Source organism: Homo sapiens, chromosome 11, assembly GCF_000001405.40.
Source record: "Homo sapiens chromosome 11, GRCh38.p14 Primary Assembly".
NCBI classification, from domain to species: Eukaryota; Metazoa; Chordata; class Mammalia; order Primates; family Hominidae; genus Homo; species Homo sapiens.
In genome coordinates, this window is record NC_000011.10 from 131,458,319 (window position 1) to 131,484,722 (window position 26,404).

Genomic DNA, 26,404 nt, shown 5'->3' on the forward strand with positions numbered 1-26,404 from the left:
ACAAAAGCCTTCCTGATGCAGTGATGGAGACACACAGATGTGCACATTTGGAGGGGAAAGCCCATAGTCGAAGCATTTATAGGGCACAGAGGAGAGTGGTCAAGAACACCTGCGGAGCTCCTTCCCCAGCCTCTGCCTACCAAAATCCCACCATCACAAAATTCATCTGTTCTCATTTACCTTCCCTCAGCCTCTCTCCCTACCCAACTGGACTGATTTTCTTTCTCCTTCTAACACCCAGCAGGATTTTCATGACGTGTGTTACTGTCTGTCACTTAGGATAGGGGCTCTGGGTGATGTGTTACTCACATTTGTGTCTTATCTCTAGCACCTAGCACAAGGCCTTCGGCAGAATAAACACTACAGAAAACATTTGCTGAATTAAATTTTGAGAGTAGTTACCAATCTCAGGCCACCCATTCCCAGGGCTGTCTAAACTGGGTTGTCAAATGCTGGAGCAATGGTTTGCAAACTTAGTTCACATCAAGTCACCTGGAGGGCTTATTCAAACAGTTTTCTGGGTTCCACTCAAGAGCTTGTGTTTCCGTAGGTTTGTAGTCCAAGCATTTACATTTCTAACAAGGTCCTAATTGATACTGAGACTTCTAGTTCAGGAGTTGCACTTGGATACCCACTGCCCTAGGGCAAAAACATGATTTCATTCAATCATGTCCATTACTTGGCTTCCCTGGAGAAGCTAGCTCTTGTTTCTTTGTACATAAAGGCATCTGGCCAGATTGCACAGGATAATGTGAATACCACCTCTCCATGCAGTTAAAATGCCTTCATGGATCTGTGCATAAGCCTCCCACATGGGGGTGCAGACATCTACGCCACTCTCAGAAAGTAGATCAGACAGCTGCCATTCAGGACCTACTGCGTCCAGGGGCCACAGGCCTCTTGCTCTCACCAGCAAGGTGCTGAATAAACAGGTGCCCATTGTCCTCACCTGCTTCTCTACAGTTGTATCACCCAGGTTCAGAAAGGGCTTGGTGTCTTCCAAAAATATTTTTAAACTATCTTATAGATGTGTTCATTGCACATCACTGAAAGTCTAAATTCTATGTTCATCTATAGGATTGATGAGAATAAGAAGTAATACGATAATACAGTATTATCAGTATTTATTATGAATGTTCAGAATTTCAACTTACACATTGCCAGCTTTTAGAAAGAAAGACTATAGAAAAAAAAGAATTAATAGGATGATTATGAGTGCTTAGAAAGGAAAACCGCATTCACTGGAAACAAGCATTGATTCACTATGAGTAAGTCCTATTAACCTAACTCATTTCCTTTTTCTACCTAGTTACTTGTGAAGAAATTTAGTAAATTTCATGTTTTAAATCTAAGCACGGTCCTGGGTGGTGGGTGAATTTGTACCTAGTTGAATGACAGTCCTGATAGTGTTGAGTAGTGGGTCTGTGTCAACCTGGAGGAAGGCCTTAGTCTTCAACTCTGTCCTGTTTAACCTATTTATCAGCATAAGATAGAGCTACTGAAGACATGCAGATCATACTTTCACCTGATTCAAGGCTGGGGTGGATTAGTTATTAGCATGACAGAATTGGATTTCAAAGGATGTTGACAAGCTTAGGAAGTGGGCCAGGTTTTGTATTTTTTTAAAAAAATAAAACAATTGTCTCAAAGCAGTAAAAGAAAATAAGGCTCCGTGGCAGAACTTAAAAAAAATGCTTAGGAATTTTAGTTGCCAGAAAGTATGATGTGTCGTTAGTGTGTGTAATTTCCCGAAAAGTTGAGATATGGGACTGTATTAACAGACCAACAGTGTCCAGAACAAACTTTATTTCCAGCATTATAAGCAGTCAGGGATTCATAGACAGCGTAATGCCCTGCATGGCCCAGATGATGAATAGACTAGGTCATGTCTTCTGATGAGGAATAGAAGGAACAGAGGGAGCCTAGCCTTCAGTCTGGAGAGAAGAATGAAGATTTCAAATATTTTGAAATCTCTCACTTGGTTCTCATTTATTTTGAATGGCCCCAAAGGCCAAAAGTAAGATCAATAAATGAAGTAATAGGATTACAGATTTTGGCTTAGTATACAAGTAAAATTTTTAGTATTCGGAATTATCTATAGATGACATAATGACAACAATAATGATGATGATGAAGAAAGCAAAACCTGTAGCAACTCATGCAGTTTCATAAAGCACTTCTTAATCCAAATACTATGCTCGATTCATCACACCAGGAGAGTGCTTTCTTTCTTTTTTCTTTTTTTTCCTTCTGAGATGGAGTCTCGCTCTGTCGCCCAGACTAGAGTGCAGTGGCGCGATCTCAGCTCACTGCAACCTCTGCCTCCCGGGTTCAAGCGATTCTCCTGCCTCAACCTCCTGAGTAGCTGGGATTACAGGCACCCACCACCACGCCTGGCTAATTCTTTGTATTTTTAATAGAGACGGGGTTTCACCATGTTGGCCAGGCTGGTCTCAAACTCCTGACCTCAAATGATCCGCCCGCTTGGGCCTCCCAAAGTGCTGGAATTACAGGCGTGAACCACCGCGCCCTGCCAAGAGAGTGCTTTTGATGTCACTGGGGAAATTCAGCCCTTGGCTGAGCAACAGTGTTGCAGAGGATATTCAAGTATTGATAGAAAGTTGAACAAGGTGACCTTATATTATGAAAATACTGTGATTCTGAGCTTTCTTAAGCTTGTGCACAGTCAGAACAATCAGTACAAAATATTTGTATTCTTCAAATAGTTTAGATCATTTCCTCTGGATGTTTTCAAGTATAAGGGAAATTGTGAAGATGAGGGTATCGGTTGCAAAAGCTACCTTGCTCTACATCTGAGAGAGGGATTGCCTGTGAACCAGAATCTACGGGTATGCCTGTGGGCAATCACTGTTACTTTATAGCCAATCTTCTGACAATAAGACTTGGGTTGGCCAGTGCATTATAATCCCAACTCCCTTATTGTTGCAAAGTAGAATGTCTACTACTCAGCAGATTGGGTGCCATAGAGATACAGAAATCTCAGAAAAGCATCTCATGAATTCTTGTAACTTCCATGTCTGTATAGTGACTGATACCTACCGATATTTAACAATTTTGAGTTGGTGAAAAGAAAATTAAAAGACAGCTAAAGAAAAGTATCTGTGGAAATGACATTAAGAGATGGGAGAGACCTATGAACATGCAGAAGCTAAAGAAGTTGAACTCAGAGAAAAGAGATTAGAAGGGTGCATACCAGGGGTAGCGGGGTGGAGGAAATGGGGAGATGATGGGCAAAGGATACAAACTTGTAGCTGTAAGAGGAATAAGTTATGAAGACAAATGCAGAGAACAGTAACTATGGTTAATAATAATGCATTGTATATTTGACATTTTTGAGGAGAGCAGATCTTAAGTATTTTTACCACAAAAAAAGATAACTCTGAGGCAATGGGTATATTATCTACCTTGATTATGATAATAATTTCACAATGTGTATGCAAACCAAAATGTCACATTGTACACTTTGAATATATATAATTTTTCTTTGTCAATTATACCTCAATAAAGCTGAAAAAAGAGAGATGTGGGAGATACAAAGCAGGGACATTCAAATTAAACATGCCTTTATCTGAAATCCCAGCAAGACCAAGAGAAACAAAAACATAGGTTTATGCACACACAAAACTGCATGCAAATTTTTGCAACAGCTTTATTCGTACTTTTCAAAAACTGGAAACAACCCAAATGTCTCTCAACTAGTGAGTGGGTAAAAAAAAACTGAAGAACACCACACAGCAAAATACTACTCAGCAATAAAGAAGAAAGAGTTGCTGATATTGTTACATGTTTTGTGGCTGAGCCTTAAATGCAGATCCAAGAGGCTGAATACTGTATTATTCCATTCACAGAACATTCTGGAAAAGGCAAAACTATTGTGACAGAAAACAGATCGGGTCTGGGGTTGTGGGATGAATTGACTATAAATGGGCACAAGAGAATTTTTTGGATGATGGAAATGTCTTATATCTTGATTATGGAGGTGGCTACATAACTATATGTTTGTTCAAACACATAAAACTATGCACTCAAAATGGTGACTTTTACTGGATGTCAATCATACATCCGTTTTAAAAAACAAACAGTGACCCAACATTTAAAAATACAAAAATGACAAAATCAAGAGGCTAGTGAGGGCTGGGGTCAGCCTTATAAGAAGGAAGGATGCAAATGGCACGTTGAAGTTAGTGAATTCGGTTCAGCAGAGAAGAAAGGTTGAAGATTGTCAGCTAAATGCTGCTTTTCTTTGTCCTGAGTTCCCTCTTCCTTGGTTGAGAGTGGCCACTGTTTCAGTTGAGGGGATCTGATTCTGTTTCAGTGGTTTCCTTTCATCCTGCATGGATCCTGGCAAACTCCAACATGTCCTGCCCTCTTCCTAGCATTGTACAGCAACTTCCAGGAAGGGCCTGGCAGCAAAACTGCCTTCTCCCTAGAGCGGGCCCACCTAGGGTGGTCCACCACCTTCTCCCTAGAGCAGGCCCACCTAGGGTGGTCCACCACCTTCTCACTAGAGTAGGCCCACCTAGGGTGGTCCACCATGGCTTGTGCCTCCCAGCTGAAAGGTGACAAACAAAAGGCTAACCTGGAACTAGGAAGGGTCACTTATCTACTCATGAAAAAAAAAAAAAGAAGATATAGGTAAGAATAGGTTATTTGGAAGATTCAAATACAACCTCTCCACATCTTCTTTGCATGCAGTGCAGCAATTGCCGGCCCTTTAGAGAGCTGCCCTCTGGCCCAGGTCTGCCCTGAGGTCAGTGACTTTACCTCTTGGACCTTCAGCTTTCTCTTCTGGAAAAAGATTATAAAAAGGTTACAGGAGCAACATTCCATCCTATTGCCCTCCTGTCCCATGGTGGAAAGCAGCCGGAGATTGTAGGATCTGAGCACAAGCCTTGCTCTCCATCCACAGCTCCTGGTGCTGCCTTAAACGACAACAGCAGGTGCACATGGCAGGATCCTGGAAGCAGGGGCACGTGCATCACCAGGAGGTCCTAGACCACAGCAGAGAGGCATGGGTGAGGGTAGCACCCAGCTCTGCCCCCCAGTGCGTGACCTGGGCACAGCTGAGCCAAACGCTTGACTGCCATTTTCACAGCTGAGAGGTGCAGCTTGTCATCTGTACCTTGCTGTGTGGCCGCTGGGGCCCCAGGCTTGGGGATTAGCATATCAGCCAGGCACATGGTGAATATTTAGTCAATGACAGCTGCTAGTATTATTATTTAATGTATTTGTATTAAATATCCTATTACATACTTATTAATACATTTATCAAAAATAAATCTATTGAATTTATTATGCATTATTATTACTGTTATCGTGAACTAGCTTTACATTGTCCTACCTTTATAAACCTGGCCCCTGCAAATACTCTGCTTCCTGACGCTTCTTCATTGCTGAAATAGTCCATGTGGAATCCATGCTGGGGCATCGGCGCCTCTCAGACTCAGCCCGAAGCCGCAGTGCCAGGCTGCATGCTAATCAGGCGGTGGCTCCAGGAGAACGGGCCCAGGAAGGAGAGAGGATGGGGCCTGGAGGCGGCAGCCTGCCCTGGCAGCTTCTGGCTCCCAGAGATTGGTTTATCACCAGGTTTCTGATGAATGTGTGAGAAACGGGACTGGCGATAAAGCAGCACGAGCCATAATTAAAGTAACAGCTCTTGTTTCTTAAACCCTGTTTATGTGGTGCTTGGCTTTCTAGGCAGTTTCCCCGTCTCCCACTTGAGGACCGCGAGTTTCCTCTCTCTGGAGATTGTGGATGAGGGGCTGCTGAGGGAGGAGGGTGCAGAGGGGCCAGCAGGAAGAGCGGTGGACGTGGCTGCAGGAAGCTGGCCCCTTGGTTCTTCATGAAAGTGTCAGGCAAAGCAAGTCCCTGGAGACCAAGCACCATATGGAAACTTTCTGGGAATGCGGCAGGGAGTTGCAAACACACCATGGAGCCCTGGAACTTTAGAAGACCGGAGAATGATCTGTCAGGACACCTGGCCCCACCCTCACTACACCCGCAGCAACGCAGGGAAAGCTGGGGGGGGGGCAGCAACAAGGGAAAGGGGGCCCCGTCATACATTCATGACTGAACCGCTCTCTGGCAGCCGTCTCTAACCTGGGTGGTACATTCACAGGTTATAAATTAACGGAGGCTCCTCAACAGATTTGCCTCCCTAACAGGATTCCCACCCTCTCTGTTTCCTTCTCTCTTCCTGGCTCCCTCCTCTTCCTTTTCACTCTCCTTTTCCTTACTGCCCCCTCCCCAACTCCCAATTTGGCAAATATTCTACATACTCAGGCAGTCTGACACCTCGAACAAGCTCACAAATCAGAGATGTCTTCCGCCCCAGTCCTGGGAACCAGCAGTGCCCCGAGGGGCCAGGACGCCCTTCTGCCGGCTGAGAACCACATTCTGTGGAATTCTGGCTGATTTCCATCTGTCAGTGTCCAAGCGGGTCTGCGAGGGATCTAGGAGAGCCACAAGCAATGCTTAGAAAGTTGGTCGGATCCTCCAGGTACTTTTCCTAAAATCCCCAAACCTCTGAATGTGCCGGTCTGGGTTGATAGCTCTGCTGGACAAGACCCCCTGTTTTCATTTTGACTCCATGTTTCTAGAACTGTGATTTAGGAGTGGAGGCCATTAAAGCCTTTGGAAAAATCACACATGTAAACACACACGTTTTACACGTATACACATGTATACTGCACTGAGTTTAGCTGTTTCCCAATTCTCCCCAATGGTGGATAAATTCCAAGAATGGATGACCCCAGAATGATTTATATTTGGCTTTGCTGTATGTTAGGCAATTAATGCACAGTGGCATGACCCTCCCATTTGGGCTTTGCTGGTGACAAATGAGTTTGCATTTCTTGAATACTAACCAGCTGGGTGGCGAGGTGGAGCTGCTTAGGGATAAGCTTTGCACAGATGAGCCGCCCCATGGGTGACCTGCGGGTGCCTCCGTCCTCTAGGATGGTTGGCCCCACACACGTACCATAGCCCATTGCTTCTCTGCAGCCCAGACTGGAAAAGGGAGCTGTAAACTCTGAATCACACTACAATCTGAGAAAAATCCAGGTTTCTTTTTTTTTAAACTAGAAGTACTAGACTGGTGAAGGCAGGAGGCTCCATGGCCCACTGGGAGAAGGTCATTCCTATGACTGCCCAGGTTGCCAGCTTACTATGTCTTCTCTTCCAACCATTAAAGTTCTTGTCATACCTGGGGTCTTTCACCCCAGGCCCTGAGGCCTAAGCCCCTGGGATCTGTGTACTCCTCTGAGGTATCCTGCGACCTGTGATTTTACAGAGCAGAGCACAAACTTGGATTGAAAGTCAATAAAGTATTGAATTCCACAGCGAACAGTCTTTTCTTTTGTCAGAATTCCAAATTGGGCCATTGTTAGCACAGACAGACAGGACTAGATACTCCCCTGAATGCACCAGAGCCATTCCCAAAGCTCGGTTCTGCAGGGCCATGTGGCAGGAATTATACCTAGCTTCATAGAAAAGGTCTGTGGTTGTCCCTTGGCTGTGCCCTGGAGCCGTGAGACCCCTCTCTGTCCTCCAAAGCCACAGCAGGGTAACCTGATACTTGCTAATGACCACCAGATGGCTGATGACCACAAGGGGGCATGGCCCTTTGAGCGCCCCTTCAGGGTAGAAGCTATCACTCTGCAGGAGTGTCAGGCAAAGCAGGATGTGTGTCTATGAGGAACCTACAAGCTTTTGCCCAAAGCCATCAGCCTTCAGCAGGGAGAAGAGCAGCATGTGAGCAGGTGCGTGATCTATTCTGGATCCTCTCAGAGCCTGCCCGACCCTGACAGCCAAGGATTGTGCCCGTCGAAGGAGCCCACAAGATAAATCAAGGGGCAGAGAGAAGAAAACAGCAAAGAGGAGTGGGAAGACGGAGAAGGAGATGTTAACCGAGAGATGAGCGGAGGAATTCAAGCTACAAATGCAGCCCAGATTTATTGACTTCTTCTTAAGGGTCAGGCCTCGTGCAAAGTGCATTTTATTTAATCCTTACCACAATCTTATTACAACAGGTGCTATTATTATCTCCATCTTAGAGCTAAGGAAACTTGGACTGTAAGCATTTAAGTAACCTGATCTAAGATGCACAAACTTGCATAAGGCTTAAGCAGTTGTGGAGGTTTGGGAAAAGTGACAACTAAGGTCAGCTCTTGGAACTAACCCCTCCCTGGGGTTGTGCAGGCTGTGTGCTAGCCCTTCCTCAGTTTCTCTTTGAAATGAGAATCATTCTGCTAATCTCTCTCCCTAGCATGTTATGCCGCACAAGTTATATGTATTAATTTGCGGCATCACTAGCCTCTCAGTAATTATCTCCATGAATTCCCTCCTTTCCATTGAAATTAGGTAGCTGGGTATATCATGGTTCCAAATCACTACAGTTGTTGATAGAGCAAATAGAATCAAGTATATAACTACTATACTTGGAAAGGAGACAGCTTTTTTGAAATCAAAATCACAATTTTTTTCTCTTCTTTTAATTTATTTTTATTGTGTTGGAAATTTGCAGACTTATTCCTCACTCGGTCACACTTTCACAACTGCAAGGACAAGGGGAATGAAATTACTGGCCTGCTTTCCAGCTCACTGCACACTCACTGACACACACGTGTGCACACATGTGCATACACGTACACACACGCACATGCAAACACACCATACAGGCTCCCAATCCAATCCTTAGTTTTCTGGCGTACAGGGACTCTGAAGAATTGCTTCAGTAGTTTGAGAATGATGAATGACAATGTTTTTAAAATATATATTTACTGTTGGTAAAGGAAAGCTAAGGAAGGGAGAGAGTAGACGAGAAAAGAAGAGAATGTAAGAGGAACTAAAGACAAAAAGGTGGGGACAGATGGGCCAAGAGGGGTAAGAAGGAGAGGGATCCCAGGAGGAAATGAATTGTAACTCAGAGAAGCCCTTGCTCCTGACAATCATGCCCTTGCCTGTCTGCATTTCCACGGGAGATGAGTAAATTTCTCTCATTCCCATAACTCATCAGTAGTGGTCAGGAGGGAGCCCACCTCCCACCAGGAGGGCTCTGGACTTCATCAGCCCAGTTACCCTGCCTCCAGACATTGGTTTTACACAAACTAAAAAATTCAACTGCACTTCAGAACTCTATTATCTGGCCAAGTGGAGAGCTGGCCATGATGAAAGCTACCCCAGACATTCTGGTAGTGATTCTTCAAGGTAGAAACCTGCTCTGGCTATGTATCTGCTTATGTTCACAGCCCTGAGATACCTGAGTGTTGGACTAAACCAGTGTTACTCAAACTGCAGGCTGCAATCCATGAGAGGTTATTAAATAATTTAGTGGCCTCCACTTATGATTTTTAAAAAAATAAAATAGAATTACTGAAATGCTCAACATATAGAAAGGATATTTTATGAACAGTTTATTTTGGTGGAGTGTGTGCTGTGTGGGTCACAGTCTAGACAGGCTAAAAGCCACAGGATTGAATGACCTGGGAAGTTTCCAGAGAGTCTGTGACCTCTGAGTGAGCTGTTCCCCCAGCCACTTAAATCTTGAAAATATGGGCCAGGATGTCTTCTGATAACAAGCTCCCTCATGTTTCCTCTGTCTATGGGATTCTGTATTTAAGAAGATTCTAACACATCGTGGGCATCCGAAACGTTCCAAAACTTCTTGAGTCACCTCTTTGGACAGCTCCCGAAGAGTGCAGTGGGGGAAAGGGATGACGTAGGGTCAGTGTGAACTGATCTCACAGGAAGGGCATTTAGTACGGTGGCTTCCACACTGCAGAGCCCCCTTGGCTGGCAGGTGCACAGCCTGCCCACTCGCACTTTGCCTGCCCCCCTTCCTGTCTGTCTGCTCCAGCCCATCTGATTGACTGGCTGGCTCAGGCCACCTAATGAGAGGCAACACCCCATATGACAAAGCCCATGCTGTGTAATGGGTTGATTGACATCCTCAGGACGTGATTCCGCATGCAGCCTCACTTGCAGATAATGTGAATGGTTGAGGAATTAAAATGTTGCTCGGTGCTTAATGAATGCAGCATGAGCCTCATGTTAGCACATGCCAGCTGCATCTCTGAGAACCAGGAAGCAGCAACAATTTCTAAATTATTTATCAATTCCCTTACCTCCACCCCAAAAGAAAGTCAGCTTATGCATTTATTTATTTCATGGGCCGATATGCAGAGTAATTGCTTTGGTTTTTTTGTGAGTTTTTTTTCTATAGATTTTATTTTTCTGATGCTACAGTGAAAAAAGAGAGAAAATATCATGTCAATGTCATTTGAATCATAATAGCTACAAATTCACTCTCCTGAATAAATAGAGAAGCTTATTTATCAAACACAGACAAGATGTCTGTCGAGTTGTTAACAGAGGAAGAGAGATTTGAGTGGGCAGGAGCAATTGCAAAAGTTTGCATATCTTCAAAACTCCCTAGGGAGGTGCAAGCAGCTTTTTCCCCAGCTAGGAACTTTCTGTTTTGACAGCTGATTGGCCAGCAAAATTGGCTGTTCCACCTTCACAGGGTGAAAAGGGGCAGGTGGTTTGGGCATCCTAGCTGAGCCTGGACCTGGCAGGTACGAGAGTGCTTGTCCCCATGCAGATTCTTGTCCATTTAAGGCAGAACAATTGGATGAAATACCAAGGCAATAAGCAGATGGAAAGCGTTGGTTGTTCTTACCCATGGCCTGTGGCTCTAGCTTTTTTATTCTGCTTTATTTTTTCATCTTATCCTGGCAGAGCTGGCTGCTGCTCTCTGTTGCAAATCCAAGCTCCGTTTCATCCTTTCCCTGGGTTTCCCCACCCACAACCAGCGCCTCTGCATCTCCCCTCCCCACCCACTGCCACTGTGAGGCCACCTCTGCTAACGTGTGTGGGCTCTGTGAATGCTTCTGTAAGAAGCAGCACAATGTAACTACAATGGCTACTATCTTTGGAGTAGGGCATCTTCTAAGGGTTTTACATATATTATCTCACTTAATTCTCAGGATACATATATTATCTCATTTTATTCTTATATCTTCCTCAGCTATGAGGAAGATAAACTGTTTTTATGACACTTGGGTATAAATGAGAAAACCACATTCCAGGAAGGCTGATGACTTGCCCAAGGTCATTCCCAGGATTTGAGCTCAAAGTCTTGTCCACTACATTATACTGCCATCACAGATAGACAGATAACTGACTGCAGATCAGGAGACCTGGAGGCCATCCCTGACAGCTGAGTTGCCTTGGGCGCTGCCTATACCTCTCTGGGAGTCAGTTGCTAGGCAGCTGATAGGCTCAGTGTCATAATGATAGGGTGGGTTTAGGACAAGATTGCCTGGGGCTAAACCCATGTACTACCACTGAGCTATCTTGGGTAGGTTACTTGAGCTTAGTTTTCTCATCTATAAAGTAGAAAAATGATCATAGTACCTCCCTCACTGGAATGATTTTGATGATTAAATAAGTTCCTACATGTAGAATAATGAGAGCCAAGCTTGGAGCATCGTAAGCAGTCCATGTTCATTATCACTATATAGATTTTGTCTGTGTGTCCATCTTTATAGCATGAGGGGATTCAATGCAATGATATTCTAAAGTCTAATTTGGTTTGGAAATCCTATGAATCTGGTCTGCATTTACATTTCCTTAGAGCTCTGTAGCTCTTTATGGTATTATTCCAATGAGAACAAAATTAGAGGTGAAAGCTGGAGTGACTGAGCCATGGAATAGCTTGCACCTGTGTGTCTCATCTACATGGACACTGCCCGTCCTCTTCTGTGACTCATTTCATATGATAGTATGACCCTCACGTTATCTGCCATGGGCAGGACATGGTTACTTTCTCTGTTTTAAAGACCTGTTCTGCTATTAGCCCGGGGTTAGAAAGTTAGTGGGAAAGTAGGACTCTAATCCATATGTACCGCTTCCAAGAGAGTTCTCAGTTGTCTGAAAGGCAAAGGGATTTGAGCCTTCTGAGTTCAACTCCCAGCAAGGAGGTGCCCTAGAAAAGAAGCTTTTGTCTAACTGTATTAGCCATTTTTCACTCCAAAATAAAAGACTGGGCAAAGCATTCTGGCTGTATTTCACCAGCTCATTTTTCTCTAAACACCAACATTTACCAGCTTTCCTTTTTCTGATGAGAGAGTAATTAATCTTGTCTCCTCTAGACCCTCACACTGGCACACGTTGCTACTGTCTTGAAGGCAGATGGTTCTCTGGGAGAGGAAAGTGAGATAGTCCAGAGCAGCAGGAAGGCTTGAAAGTTCAAATCCTGGCCAATGGGGACCAGCACAAGTTGCCCCAAAGGCTCCCCGAGTTACTTCGAGGCTCTCCTCTGGGAGCCAGCTTTGCACCTGGACATGCTCTCTTGGCTCACAGGCACATGAGCAGGTCAGACCGTGAAAGCAGCCCTGGTCTTCATTTGCATGCAGTGGGACTATCAAAGGTCCTGAGGGGAAGGGAGAGGTGAGAGACTCCTGAACTTAAAAGGGAAAGCAGCCAGCTTCTGGGAGCTTTTGTCAAGCCAGAGGCAGAGAAGTGATGCCTATGAACACTTGCATTTCCACGCTCCAAGCCTTTATTATCTAGACCATGTAATCCATTTCTGAGCTACACTGTGCTCGCCGAGTAGAAATTTCATCTTTCTCAGGAGATCATAAGCTCAAACTTGACAGGAAACCTTCCTGCCATACATTTTTACAGCCTCTGCAGCCTAACATCAAGCTGGGAACATATTAGATGCTCAGTGAATTCCTGAACAATCAAATGCGATTGACCAAACTGAAGCTCACAGACATGTTATTCATACATGAGTATTGTCAGCTCTTACTAACTCAGACTGGGGAGGGCAGCCTCAACCCAGATAACTCCACAAGAATGTCTAATCCCCAAGATAATTCTATCTGTGATTTCTCTAAACACAATGCACAGTTCTGTTTACCTATTTGCCTTCCCAAGGAAGTTTTCCTTGGTTAATCCAATCGCTCATTCAACCAGTTTTTACGGAGTGCTCTCTGTCAGGCACTGTCCTAGGAGATTCAAGGGTGATGAAGGCAGCCCTCATCTCTGCCCACTTGGGATCTATCACGTATGGGGAAAAGACAGATAGGACACCATCATCACATGAGTTATTTTGTTGTAATAGTTACATGTGCTACTGAGGGATGGTGAGTGTTTTAAGAGTGTGTAACGGAAAGCCCACTTAGAGCTGCCTGAGAGGCAGGGTGGCCGTGAGGGAATTAGTCTTATATTTATATTAAAACTTAGGGAATGAGTGTGAGAATTCCAGGGGCATTGGAGGTTGAGGTAACAAGGTTAAGATGAGTTCTCATTTCTGATTATGAGAATATCTGCACAGAAGCATGCCGGTAAATTCACTCTGTCCAAAAGGCAAATGCTTACTCCAGGGTCTCCAGCATAGCCTGCCTTGTTCATGAATGAGAGGGTGGAAGAGCTGCTCCTGGAGGTTCTGTCTGGGGACTGGGGTTGTAGGGATTTACTCCGATCACCAGCTGCTTGTCTTTCCACCCTGAGTGTTCTGTGGAGTCAGTCTGGAAATGAGCTCTTCTTGCCAATGACTCAAAGTAGGAAAAATAAAAATTTGCTTATGGGAGAGATTCCAGTGGGAGCATGGATATGCTATCTGGTGCATAATGGCTGTGAATTCCAACCAGCCTCCTGAAACCAAGACGTTTCAATTAACAGGAGGCACTTCAAACCTGAACATCTCTCTTTCCTGGCTTTCCAGTCAGAATGCTGTTGTATAAATAACAATAAGCTGGCCCCCTCAGAGGCTGTAATTGAGTCTCTTCTTTCTGCTGGCATCAGCGGGATTCCCTTGAGTGATTTACTGTGTGGCTATTTAATTGGGTGACACATGAGGAAGTCAGCCCTGCTTTGTTTAATTACACTGGGTATCCCCCCTGCATGGTGTCAGCCCCCACTCTCTGGAAGGGCTCTCCGGTACCACTCTTGCCCAGGAAATGATTGCAAAGGTGTTTGGGAAGACCAGGGACAGAGAGAAATGGCTAGATGTTTGAAAAAGGAAGGGAATGTGGATAGAAAAGAAGACTGATCCCATGAACAGAATAGTTACCTGGTTTACAGATTTAACTTGTTCTGAACCTAAATAACATTGAGTGTCTGTGTGAGTATGTGTGTGAATGTGTGTGTGTGAGTGTGTATGTGTGTTGGATGTGGCTGTTAAAGGAGGGGAAAGAGCGTTAGAAAGTGCACATAATCACAAAATACAAGTTAGCAAATGTTAGGTGCCTTAAGAAAGACACAGTTATTTTTCCAAACAATTTCAGCACTACTTTCTTCCTGGGTAAAGGCAATGAGGAGAAGGGGGTAAGTGTAAAAAAGCTGATGGGTGTTTGACAATGAATAAATGTAATTTTATACCTTATAATAGCCCTCTGAGGTAGTATTTAGCATACCCACTTGATAGATAAAGAAACTGAGGCTGAAAGACACAGCTAGTAAGAGGTAGACATTCAATCCAGCCTCATGCCTGTCTGACTCCGAAGCCCACATTACTTCCACTACCCCCCAGAGATTGAGTCATCCCTTGATCTTTCTTCAAGCTGCTTGTATACCACATTGACTAATTACTCCGTGAAATATTAATTGATTTTCCACGGTGTACATAGAATAGGTTTTGGTCTCGTAAGAATATGAGGATCAATAATAATACTAATAACAATGAAAATAATAGCCAATATTTCCAGGGTGGTTACTATTTTCTAGGCTTTGTTCAGAATATTTTATAAATATTGACTCATTTAATAAGATACTTGCACTTAGATAACTGGACTTCAAACACATCCCACCAGGCCCTTGAACAGTGAGCCTCTCACCCCTCATTATTTGGGGCTTGGTAGCAGGCAGGAGCAGAGAGGAGGCTGTAATCCACTATGGAGCCCAAGGCAGGCAGGGGTACCTTGGGCTGTGGCATGGCAGCTCCATGTCCAAACACAAATCTCCCATGCTTTGACAACTGCTCCAAGAGGGTTTCCTAAGGGAGTCCATGAGCAGAATGTATGGATCCTGATGGGGAGGGAGAGCCTGTGAATCAATAGGTGAAGGCGTATTCATCAGACACAAACTCATGCATTTTTTTAAGCTCATTCATAGGGGCTCAATTTTCCTCTGCTCCTGGCAATACCACACGTAAAGATAGCTTTTCTCCTCTCAGCAAAGAGGCAGGGATAAGCAGGCTTTCAATAATATTAGAAGAACTAGAGAGTGGACATTACTTAGAATTTCCTAGCTGCAAGGTTTTTGAGAAGCTTGGAAGCATAACTGAGCTAGGAGAGGGAAAATGGAAGCCAATGAGGCGTGGCCATCCCAGGTATAACAGCTCCATGGTGGAGAGGGAGGGGCTCACTCTCTCTCCTGTTCCCTCTGTTTATTTCAAACAGAACCACTCTCCCAGCCAAATCACATGGACAGCTCCAGCCTTCCTTCTCTCAGAGGATGAGGTAGCCCTCTCCCTGCTAAGAGCTGATTCTGCCCCATCTATTCCTTCCATCTCTGGCGTCTTCAATCTCTCCTTCCTTTTGACTACCTTTTCTTGATCTACTTTTCTTTTTCAAACTATTGAGTTTTCCCTTAAAATTAAGAATAAAAATAAACCCTGAACATGTCTTCTTCTGACAATGGTCTTATCTTTCTCCTTCCATTCTCATCCAACTTTCTTTAAAAAGTAGTTCACACCCCCACTGTCTTCACCTCATTCTCTCATTTTCACTCCTCAGTCAACTGCAATCTGGCCCCTAGTCTTACTTTTTCATTGAAATTACTCTTATTCAAGTCAGAAATAATGACCTCCTGTCCAGCAAAAACTACAAAACGCTTTCAGCATGCTCTGATCTTTCTCTGAACATATCCACATCTCTCACCTTTGTAACAGTTGACACAGTTAACCCACCTCCTCCATCTGGAAACTCTTCTTCCTCAGCTCCTGTGGCCCATTCCCCTTTCCCAGTTTTCCTCTTACAGGGTTGGTTTCTTTGGGCTCTAACTGTAGCTCACCTCTTGCTCTACATCTTCTCCTTGGCAATTTCATTTACACTCATGTCTTAAAGTCTCATTTACATACTAGTAATTCCCCAATCTTGATCTCCAGTCCATGAGTTCCACCCCTACATGCCCACCTGTCTGCCAAACAGAGTCACCTGGATGGTTCCCAGGTACCATATGCCTCAGGCTCTTTATATCCAGCATCTCATTCATCATCTATAGCTCCTGCTCTGCTTTCTTCTGAATTCTCTTTCTTGATTTGTAGCATCTCCATCTGCTCAGCTGCCTAGCCAGGAACCTGGACTTTTCAACATTCATCTCTTCCCGTGCTCCATTCTCCAGTCTTGAAATTTTTATTTCAAATATAGGCCCATCTTATCATTCCTGATATCACTCTCTTAGTTATAGGGTATCATTATATCCTTCTTGGACTATCGCAATAGCCCCTATTCTCCTTACGCCACCCAAACCTATCCTCCATACTGCTCCCAAAGCAATGTTTCCAAAATGTGGAGCGGGCCATATTAGTACCCATATTTGACCAGACAAAGTCCAAGCTGCTTTATGTCACAACGAAAGGCTTAATATATGTGATGCTGGGCTTTCTCTCTAGCCTCATTGCCTGCCCTTGCTCTTTAAGGAATAACAATGTCATGCCACTTGTAATTACCCCAAACAATCAAGGCCAAATGTTTTCTAGCTGTCTGCTCAGAGTGTTCCTTCTGCCTGAAACATCTCTCTTCCTCTTTCCTCCACCATCTCATTGACTACATCATCTCTGTAGTCTGTTCTCCCAGTTGGCTGGGCCCGGTTGGTTATAGATATGAGGAAGTAACTTTTGCAAACCAAGCCCAACCTTTTAAGCAGACAGAGTAGATATCTGCCCACATGGTTTGAATGGTGGGGCTTGAGGAAGCTGATAACTAATTATCTTTTATTATTTAAAATTATTTCATTATAGGGTTATTCCTCTGATTTTCTTTGCATTTTTGTTCTTGGAGAGGTTTCTATATATTTTTCTGAGAAGAGTTTAATCCCCTAAACCTTTGTGAGCTCCCACACATGAGAAGGGGGCCATGACAGGTACAGAGGGTGTACCTGTCCCTCTCGGCAAAATGGGACATGAAATAAAAAATTGCCCTGAGGAGGAGGAGGAGGAGGATTGAAATGCAGGGAGCTGATAAACTGCTACATATCACAGTCAACATCACACATCTTGCTTGGGTAAATCATGTGGGATGATCTAGTAAGTTAGGATTCAAGTTAATATTTAGATCACTTAAAATGAGGAAATATAAATATTTTTCCTGAATAATGTAGAATTATCACCCACGAAGCCCTACATTCATTTTCTTAAAGGAAAAAACTGCCAAAGATAGATTGTTTGTTTAATGGGATTTTATGAGATGAGCCAAAGTATAACTGGGCTTTAGAAATGAAAGACAAAGATAATGAACTCAATACCTTACAGGTCATGGGAGACACAGTGAGGAAAAAATGATGTTACTGTGAAAAGATTGGGAAGAGAAAAAAAGAGGCAGGAAGATAAAGACACATTCAAAATATGTATTGACCACCTATTATGCAGACACTGAGATATGGGCATAATCCTTGCCTTGGGTATTTACCTGGAACTTGGCAGGTACTCAGGATAAATATTTGTGGAAGGAAGGAAGGAGTGAAGGAAGGAAAAAAGGAAGAAAGGAAGGAGGCAGGGAGGGAAGAAATGAGGAAAGGAGGGAGGAAAGCCTGTGTATTCTTCTTAGTCTGTGCAAGGTGGGTGAAGTTAACTAAATCTATACTTACTCTTTAGCTTTTCACCCATTTTATGTTCTTGCCTAGGGTATGTTCTTCTAGAAAATTCATAATCCATTCTCCACTAAGGTTAGGGAGCACTCTTCCATGCTATCTACAGACTACATATCAACTCACCGTGTTAAATGTGATGAGTTATTTAATAGACAAGTGAGTGGCAGGGTTGGGGTCTAAAACCAGGTAGCAGCAGGACCCCAGCTAATCATGTACCTGGGCCCTGTGGCCATGCTTAGGATTGGAGAAGGTCTCCCTGCTCGTCTAGACTGCTAGCTAGGCCAGCCATCTGTTACTTGTCTGGAAGGGGGAAGAGAGGTGGCATGGTGCTCAGGGCTGTGGCAGATCCAGTCTTGGTTTCCTAATCAGTCTATTATTTACAGGCTCCAAAGTAATGGGAGGAGGGGCAGGCTTATAACCTGTGATGAGAGGGGTTTATGTGTGTTCTGGGCCAGTTTTGTAAGACAGCTGCCCCTATAAAGGATTTATCAAGACAATAAAAGAAAAAGGAGAGAGCCTAAAGACACTCTAGTGAAAATAGCCTTTTTATGGTATGAGAGTTTAAGAGGGAACACTTTGAAAAGAAGCCACACTTCCCCTGCCCACCCCACCCACCCCTTCTCCTACTCAGCCCACATAGGCGGAAAAGCTCTCTAATCTTTATCTCAGGGGCTAAATACTATAAGCATTTAAAGTTTATTTTTGTCTTATGATGACGTCCAGCCTTCACCACCATACCCCGGATAAGTTTTCCTTTAATTAGGAATGTCTTTCCTCTTTGGGCTATTCTTGTGGATGAAAGTGAGGAACTTAGGGGGCACTTGCTATGCATACCCCGCACCCCGTGTTTTAACAGAGTGATAATAGATTCAGCTCGATAGGCATGTCTTAGGCCTCAGTGATGGTTTGACCCAGACTCTGGGAGGGTAGCACAGCTTGGAGGAGAAAGGGTAATGCTTGGAGGAGAAAGGCGAATGCAGAACCCCAGATGATCCAAGATGATCCATGTAAGAATCACATCTATTTGTATCAGTGTGATCACAAGCAGCAATTATAAGAATCCTAGTCATAACAAATCTCCATCTCAGAGATGAAAAAAAACAGATTTATGAAGTCAGAATACAGCGGAAGCAGTGAAGAAACCCATCCAGATTCCACAGCTATCAAGGAACAGTGCAGGGACCCTAACTCACGTCTCCCAACTCCAAGTCTTGTCCATTCTCTTCTACCCCACTTCTGCATTTGGGTTGATGTTGCCATTCTCGGTGGCCAGAGCATCTAATATGAACCAGGTCCTCTTCTAGTGAATGTGGCTGACCACTGAGTGGGAGGGAGAGGAGGAGAGAGTACAGAGGAGAGGGTTCATTGTGATTCCAGGACACAGAGGATGCGCCCTCTGCTTCCTATATCAGCTTGAATGTTGGTGTCCAGTAAATCATATCCACCCTGTTCTCCTTACTCTCTTCTACCTCCCTGAATAATCTCTTACAACCTCTTTGACTTCATAAAACCATTTACTGATGAGTCTCAAAATACTATTTCCCAGAGAGATATATTTTCTAGATATCTATTCCCAGATGTATCAAAACTCCCTAAAATGCATGTGATAAAACTGCATGTATCAGTCTACTCCCTGCTCTCCATCCTGTTCCTTGTCCATCAGAAGTCCAACTTTATAGCCTGTGGGTCATACTAGATTTCTTCCCTATCCTTACCTACAACGTTTAGCAGGCCACCAGGTTCTGACAATTGCTGTTCCTTAGGACAGTGGAACCTGCTCTCTACCTTCCTTCCATTCCCTTGGGTTACACACAGTGACTTTCTGGCCCACGCTGCACTAGAGACCCAAAGCTGACCTTTCTGCTTCCACTTATTTCTTCTCTCACTGCTTTCATAATAATTCTTCTTAAAGAAACAAATTCAATCAGATCACTCCCCTTTGTAAAATAATCTTTCAGGGCAAGTATTTTGACTTTTCATGGCCCGGTCAGTATCTGCCATTCACATTTCATTTCTTGTGGCACCTAACTTTTCAGCCTTACAGTTTCCTTCATGGAAACTTCCTTTATCTTGTTTTTGAACTCAAAATTTTGCATATCGTGCTTTCACTGCCTTGATTAATTTGCCTTTCTCTTTGTTACGTGGCTACTTCAAATTTGGGAATTACCCCCTACAGGGCACACATCAGGAATTAACTCTTCTAGAGAGCATTTATGGACACCTTGCCTAAGAGGTAGGTAGCATACCAGGGTACCATGCGCATATTTCTGTCATAGTGGTTATTACATTGTAGTGTAATTCTACATTCAGCCAGCTTTATCTGCCTCATCCACATAACTAGGAGACTCTTGTTTTCTACATCTTGTATGTCTAGTATCTAGAGAAATGCCTGAGGGTAGGAGTGTTTAGCAACACCATTGCTAAATGAATGAAGGCAAGCTTCATATGGACTAGTAGCCTCTGTGGTTATCCAAGCACATTCATAATCAGAGACTCTGACCACGGTGGTTATAATTGTTAAAAGTGATGTTCCCATTGAATTTCTTCACCACACAGCTCTATAGGAAGAGACTCAAAACTCTGATGTTCCTACCCAGAAATGGTTACATTTCGAAGATGTCTAGTTTTATCCAATGAAGTTGTTTTAAAATTGAAACTAGGCATCTCAGCTCTGTGAAAGCAGCAAAGTGCTTCTTCGCATAGCCCAGCACCTACATTTCAATCCAGTCTGGTTCTTTACTTGGTCCTGCCCTATGCCTGTGTTGGGTGTTGGGAATAAAATGTGGGTTCCACGCAGCTCCAGGACTTGAGGAGCTTGGTGAACACTCACTCGCCCAGGGCAGCACTGATTCCTAGTGCCCCGCACGCCACCTTGCAAAGCCAGGGGCTTAATAAAGCCTTGTTTATGAGCATTCTGGCCATGATGACTCAATTATCCAATTATTCATAATTCACTTAAATAACCACTAAACTTGTTTTGAGTACCTGCTATATGCCTTTTGTATAGAGATAAATTAGAGACATTCTCTCTGCCCTTGTGAAGCATTTTAGGGCTTGGAGACAGAGAAAAATGTACAACAGGCAATTATAATACAATGGAAAATGTGCTAATAGAAGTCTCCATACAGGGCAGGTTTTCCAGACTGAAGGAAGAGAGAAGAATATTCCAGACAGACAGAACCACATGTATAAAATTTGAGAAGGGTGGGAGAGAGCATGAGAGGTTCGAAGAACTGTTAGAGAGCAGCTGGGATTCATCACAACATGAGAGCAGATGGGTTATTTGGGGAGCCCGGAAGAAGGAATGGTGAGAAAGGAGATTGCAGAGGCAAACTAAGGGTCGCCTAAGGTGGAAGGAAGAGAAAAAGGAGGCTGCAGCCAGACTAAAATTTGGAACTCCTCACCTTGGGCCCTAGAGAGCACCATATGGCTCTGGAACAGCCAGAAAAGTGGGCTCTGCAATTTTCCAGGAAAAGAATGGTTCTGGAAATCTGTGGACCAAATAGAGAACTGTTGAATTAATGTAAGAAAGGGACGATGAGGAAATGATCTGGGGCTGTGGCAGCAGGGATGGAGGGAAGGGAGTGATTCTAAGGTCATTGGGAGGTAAAGGTGCAGGTGATATGCAATTGTGTGTGAGAACGTCAGCACAGAAAGCAAGTCAGGCACTCAGCTGCATGCTGAATTAAAGCAGGTGTGAAAGCTTGAGAAGAAATATTAACATTTTGATAAATTTTTTTTTAAAAAAATCAAAATCAATGTTAAAAAAGTATTAACAAAATATCAAAATTTCAAATAGAGGCAGGATCAGTATTACTGATTTTTCCTTTGGCCTGTGGCTCTGCTATGGCTTGACCTGGTACTCTACTGATCCTAGCTTTATTTAAACTTTTGATCTGTCATTCATCATAGGTTTTTTGCATTGATTTCATTTTGAAAAAAATACTGCATTCAATTATTGTTTATCTTGATTACTTTTTTTTTTTTTTTTTGCACTTTCTTAAATTTCGTACTGAGTCAAGTGCTTCAACCTACTCCTGGCCTTGGAACAGAGTAGTAGCAAGAGAGAGGGTGATTTATCAGGAATGATTGCAAGGGTAATGTCAAGCAGGATGCATTGATGTACCAGCACAATGCCTTATGCCACTGAAGGACAACTCTGTCTGTTCCTTAAAGTGACTTTTCTTGGATAGCAGGATACTACCTTTCCTCTACCCACCAAAAGCTGTCGCTTGATACTAGGCATTTTCACCAAATGAAGACATCATACAGACCCCCCACCTCCACCTTGACTTCCTCCCTCTGAGCAAACTGAGTTTGGGTCTCCCATGACGAAACTCACGTGCAGCTTGTGTACAACTTCCCTAAATGCCACAAATGCTTCAGAACAAGTGTGGAAATTGGTTTCTAAGCTCCAGCAGTTTCTAAAATAGGGGTGGTTTAAAATAAAGCAGTATGATAAAAGGGATTCCTATAGAGCAGATTGTGGGAAATAGCAGTGAGCCTCCAAAACAGAAAACCTGGGGAAAAAGTCAGAAAGGGCATCTAGCCATTCCTGAGTAAGGGGGCGTGGGAGGTAACCGTGGTCTTCCAGGAAGAGTGGCCAGCTCTGTCTCCATTAACTTCAGTCTGGGTGGTGGGGGTGGGGGAAACTCATTTCTTTCCATCCCCTGAAGCTTCTTTTCACTTTATATCCTGGCTTGATGCAGATGTAATATATTCTGTCGGTGAAAAATTTGGGCTGAAAAATATTGTGGCCTTTGAAAATTGAGGAGGGAATTGGGTGGGGGTTTTCCAAATTAATGGCAATGTGCAGATGAATCCACTGGGCACAGTGGGGTAGAAGTAGGGAGGGTGGTAGAAGTGTATTTCTAGACCGATGACTGCATATAAAGCAATGCTTGAGTGAAGAAAACAGTAGAGTAGGTAGAAATGGACATCGATATAGAGAATTTGATACTGATGGATTGTGAATGGAAATTTGAGCTTCAATTTCCTTAGATGAGTGGGAGAGAAGGTTGTCTTGTAAGAATATGGGCTTGAGGTGAATATTTAGCAGAATATTGAAGGTCAAGAGAAGTAGAGATTGAATTAGCCAAAGATATCGAACGCACTTGGAAAAGTCCTAGAAGATCCCCTGAACGTGGAGACGGTGAAAGTGTGTGGCTCCCATCTCCACAATTACATGATTTGTGTCTCTGGCTGTGCTCAGCTTTCTGGGCAAAGGCTTGGAGAAGGTGAGTCATAGGACTGACCCCAGTTTGGGAAGACGCAAGGCCTGTGAAGTGTGGAGGGTACTGGATGGTGGAGAAGAAGGGGGAGAACTTCAGATGTGGTTAATGTCAGGGCAGTGTCTGATGTGGCCAGCAATGGCAAACATGAGCCGTGCTGCTAAGCCTCAAGCTTCCAAGTATTATGCAACCTTTTCATAACACTAGAAAGAGCTGAGGGAGCTGTGTGGTTGCAGGGCCCTGTTGCAGGGAAGCACCCTAGGTCAGCATAGGCAGCCACACAGCCAGTGCTTTCTAGCAACTAGGGCCTCTTTGGTCCTCTTGGCCTCCCCTTACCATCACTATGAGCTCTGCATTGTTAACAGTACAATCTCTGCTTTTGAAATGTAGCCACACAGCCCCACCTTAGGTTAAAAAAAATTAAAAAATAAAAAATCCTTATTTACTTCTCTGGGACACATTTAGGAACAGGCCTGTTATAGAAGACATTGCCTTTGTAGCATGTTAAGTTCCCACTAGTCCTCCTACTCATAATGAAAATGCTCATATATGGGAACCAATGATGAGGGCATAATCCTCAGGTTGATAATTAAGATAGATGCCGCTAACATTTCTTAAACCATGCTGCATACAGCTGTCAGGGCAGGAGGGAATTTGAGAAGGCGGTATATAATTAACCTAGTTGGAATTGGGCCAAGGGACCCAAGGTTAATGGCCCTGGGAATGGGAGCATTAATGACCATTAATGGTCAAGCCCTTTTTCATGTCGTACTCATTAGAGCTACCTTTTATATTCTGTAAGATCATGGCCTTTGGCCTCAGGACCAAGGGTAATGGAGAGTTGCCACTCCCCCAGACAATGTGTTCTGCATTCTGACAGCTTCTGTCCAGCTCTTGATTCCCCCCACCCATCACAATCTTCAGGTGTAGTGTATAGCAGATCTCAACACACTCCAGCCATCTGCTGAGCCCTGCTGATGAGAGCTGAGACATATACATCATGCATATTCATGGGCAAAAATTGTTTCAGGTTTTTATTCAACAGATCGACAAAAGCGTGACATCCTCTTGCTTTTACCTGTTTGGCTCTGGTGTTCCTTTCTCTATACAGTCCCTGGGTGAGCTGGAATAGAATCTTTAACCACTCTGGGATGTGTCCTCCCTCCATCATATTTGATGGCCACAGGAATCATTAACGTGAATCTTCACAGGCTTGCACGCTGCCTTGATTGACAAAGAAACTGCTATTTTTGTCCACTCTGTTTATCCTTTCCCTATACCTCCAAAAGAGATTTAACCTCCAAAAGAGATTTCTACCTCATAAGCTAATCTTCTGTGATAAGCTTTTATGATGCAAATTTGGGAGAGTGGATAGACAGAGACAGAACTAGAGTAAAGGAGATGAGGGTACAGATGCATGGGAGAGAAGAAAAGGCAGAAACAGAGCAAAAGAGAATGAGAAAGTAAAATTCACTATGGGTGTGATTTGTGTGGGGGAGTCGAGCATGGGTCCTGGGAAAAAGGAAGCTTCAGGCAGCTGTGTTGTATGTGAGAGAAGAAGCACACGCAGAGGAAAGTTAATTTTAAGAAGTCTAGCTGATGGTTATCAAGCAGATCTCTTTTAATCTTCTTAGAGGGCTACAGGTAAACACTGGTATTAGTTTTAATTGCATCAGGTTGTTGAAGCATTTTCCTTTGCATGGAAACCCTCAACACTGGGTCATATGGGGTTCTGGGATGACATGAGTTTCCACATTTAACTGGAAGGCTGAAGTCAAAGCTTCGAGAGAAGCTCAAACAGGGAGAGTGGCTTTGCCTCCTCCTTCACCTTAGTATTGGAAATACATTCTGTGGTTCCAACTTTCCTAATGAGTTTTAAAAACTGGAGTGTGTTGAATATTGCCAAAGACCAAGAAGTCCCCTACTCTCTGTGGTGAGAAGACTGTCAGGGTTACACATTCGTTTCAATCCTCACATCAAGTCTCAAGAGTGGGCATTACAAACCCATTTGTAAACGTGCAAACTGAGGCCTAGTGCCATAGAGCGACTTACTCCTTTGTGGTCATGAAGTTAATAAGAAGCAGCTCCACTCGGAGTAGGAGTCTGAATTTTTATAATAAAAGGAATGGTGAAGAAAGGAGAGACACTGAAAGTGGAAATTAAGTTCTTAAGGAGAGGCGGGAATTCAATGAAAGCTACAGGGCTCTTCTCCAGCTCCCCTTGCCAGGCTCATCTGGAGGATTCTCTAACACTCAGTGACTTTGAGTCTTTGTTGGGGGAGTGAGAAAACCAGCAGCAGCGAAGAAGAGCCGCTGTCCCTCCGCTGCGTTTCACCCTGCGTGAAAGCCTCAGCTGGCTGCTGGCCTCTGCCCCTGCCTAGGCTCTTTCTTTGGACCCAACAAAAGGGCAGTGGGGGAAGCAGAGCCTGTCTTCTGCCCTTGGCAATTAAGGTCCAGGTAGAGGCAGGACAAGGAAGACTTCTGCCTGGCGCTGCCGGCCTTGGCATTTCCTCCACGAACCTGCAAGAGAATTCATGCCATTGAATCACCCATAATCAGATGCAGTGACTATCATTTTTTTGTGTGTGAACATCTCACTGGCTGAACACAAACATCTCAATAGCCATGGCGCCCTAATTTTCTTTGTCGGAGACAACAAAACCAAAGGTAATGAGCAGGAGGAGGGACTGAGTCCCAGGGGGCACATTGTCTGGAGGAGTCTCCTGGGCTTAAATACATCTAAAGTAGATCCAAAAGAAAGCAGTGATTACAGGCTAATTTTCTGCCTGCATTATGTTAAGTGTCCTGTCTCTACACAAATGGCAATTGCTTTATGCCAGAAATCTTTTACTGAATTCCTCTTATTGGTAAATTTTGTATTAAAAAAAGAGAGAGAGACAGACTAAAGAAAGGTTTTTTTCAATTTAAAGGTGAGACTATGAGGATGCCAGTAAAAGATACAAGACTGGCACATCCCCAAGAGTTGATTTTCCTTTTCAAATGCAAGTATTGGAGAAGGCAAAATGGTCCTTCCTTTGAATTTGCCAGTTAAAGGGTGGAGGCTCCCAACTTGAGCTGGAGGAGGACACAGCGCTGCTTCGGGCAGCACACAGGGTTCTTTGCTGAGACAGCTGAGGGGGCTGAGGCAAGGGGCAGAGGTGAAGAGAGGCTGATGCATTTGGCCCTTCCTTAGTCATCAGATGGCCATCCACAGGAGAGTGAGACGGACACCTGAGACCCTCTTCCTCCTGCGTAGACACTGCCCCTTTCCCAGGAGCAATGAGAGTCAGCCCAGCCATGTCACTGACTGCCTCTTCCTCTTCCAGTCTGGGTCTG

The 26,404-nt window shown here is 44.0% G+C and overlaps 1 protein-coding gene across 21 annotated transcripts in view, besides 1 other annotated feature; it reads left to right on the top strand.

The window, feature by feature from the left end:
- The window catches only part of NTM (neurotrimin), a 966,208-nt gene that overhangs the window by 87,704 nt on the left and 852,100 nt on the right, over positions 1–26,404 (top strand). The window lies entirely within an intron of this gene.
- Positions 5,417–5,711: a silencer, noted in NCBI's record as "tiled region #1894; HepG2 Repressive non-DNase unmatched - State 24:Quies, and K562 Repressive non-DNase unmatched - State 24:Quies". NCBI's record gives its function as "represses a minimal TATA promoter and a strong SV40 promoter by Sharpr-MPRA in HepG2 and K562 cells {active_cell/tissue: HepG2 | K562}" and the evidence as "EXISTENCE:reporter gene assay evidence [ECO:0000049][PMID:27701403]".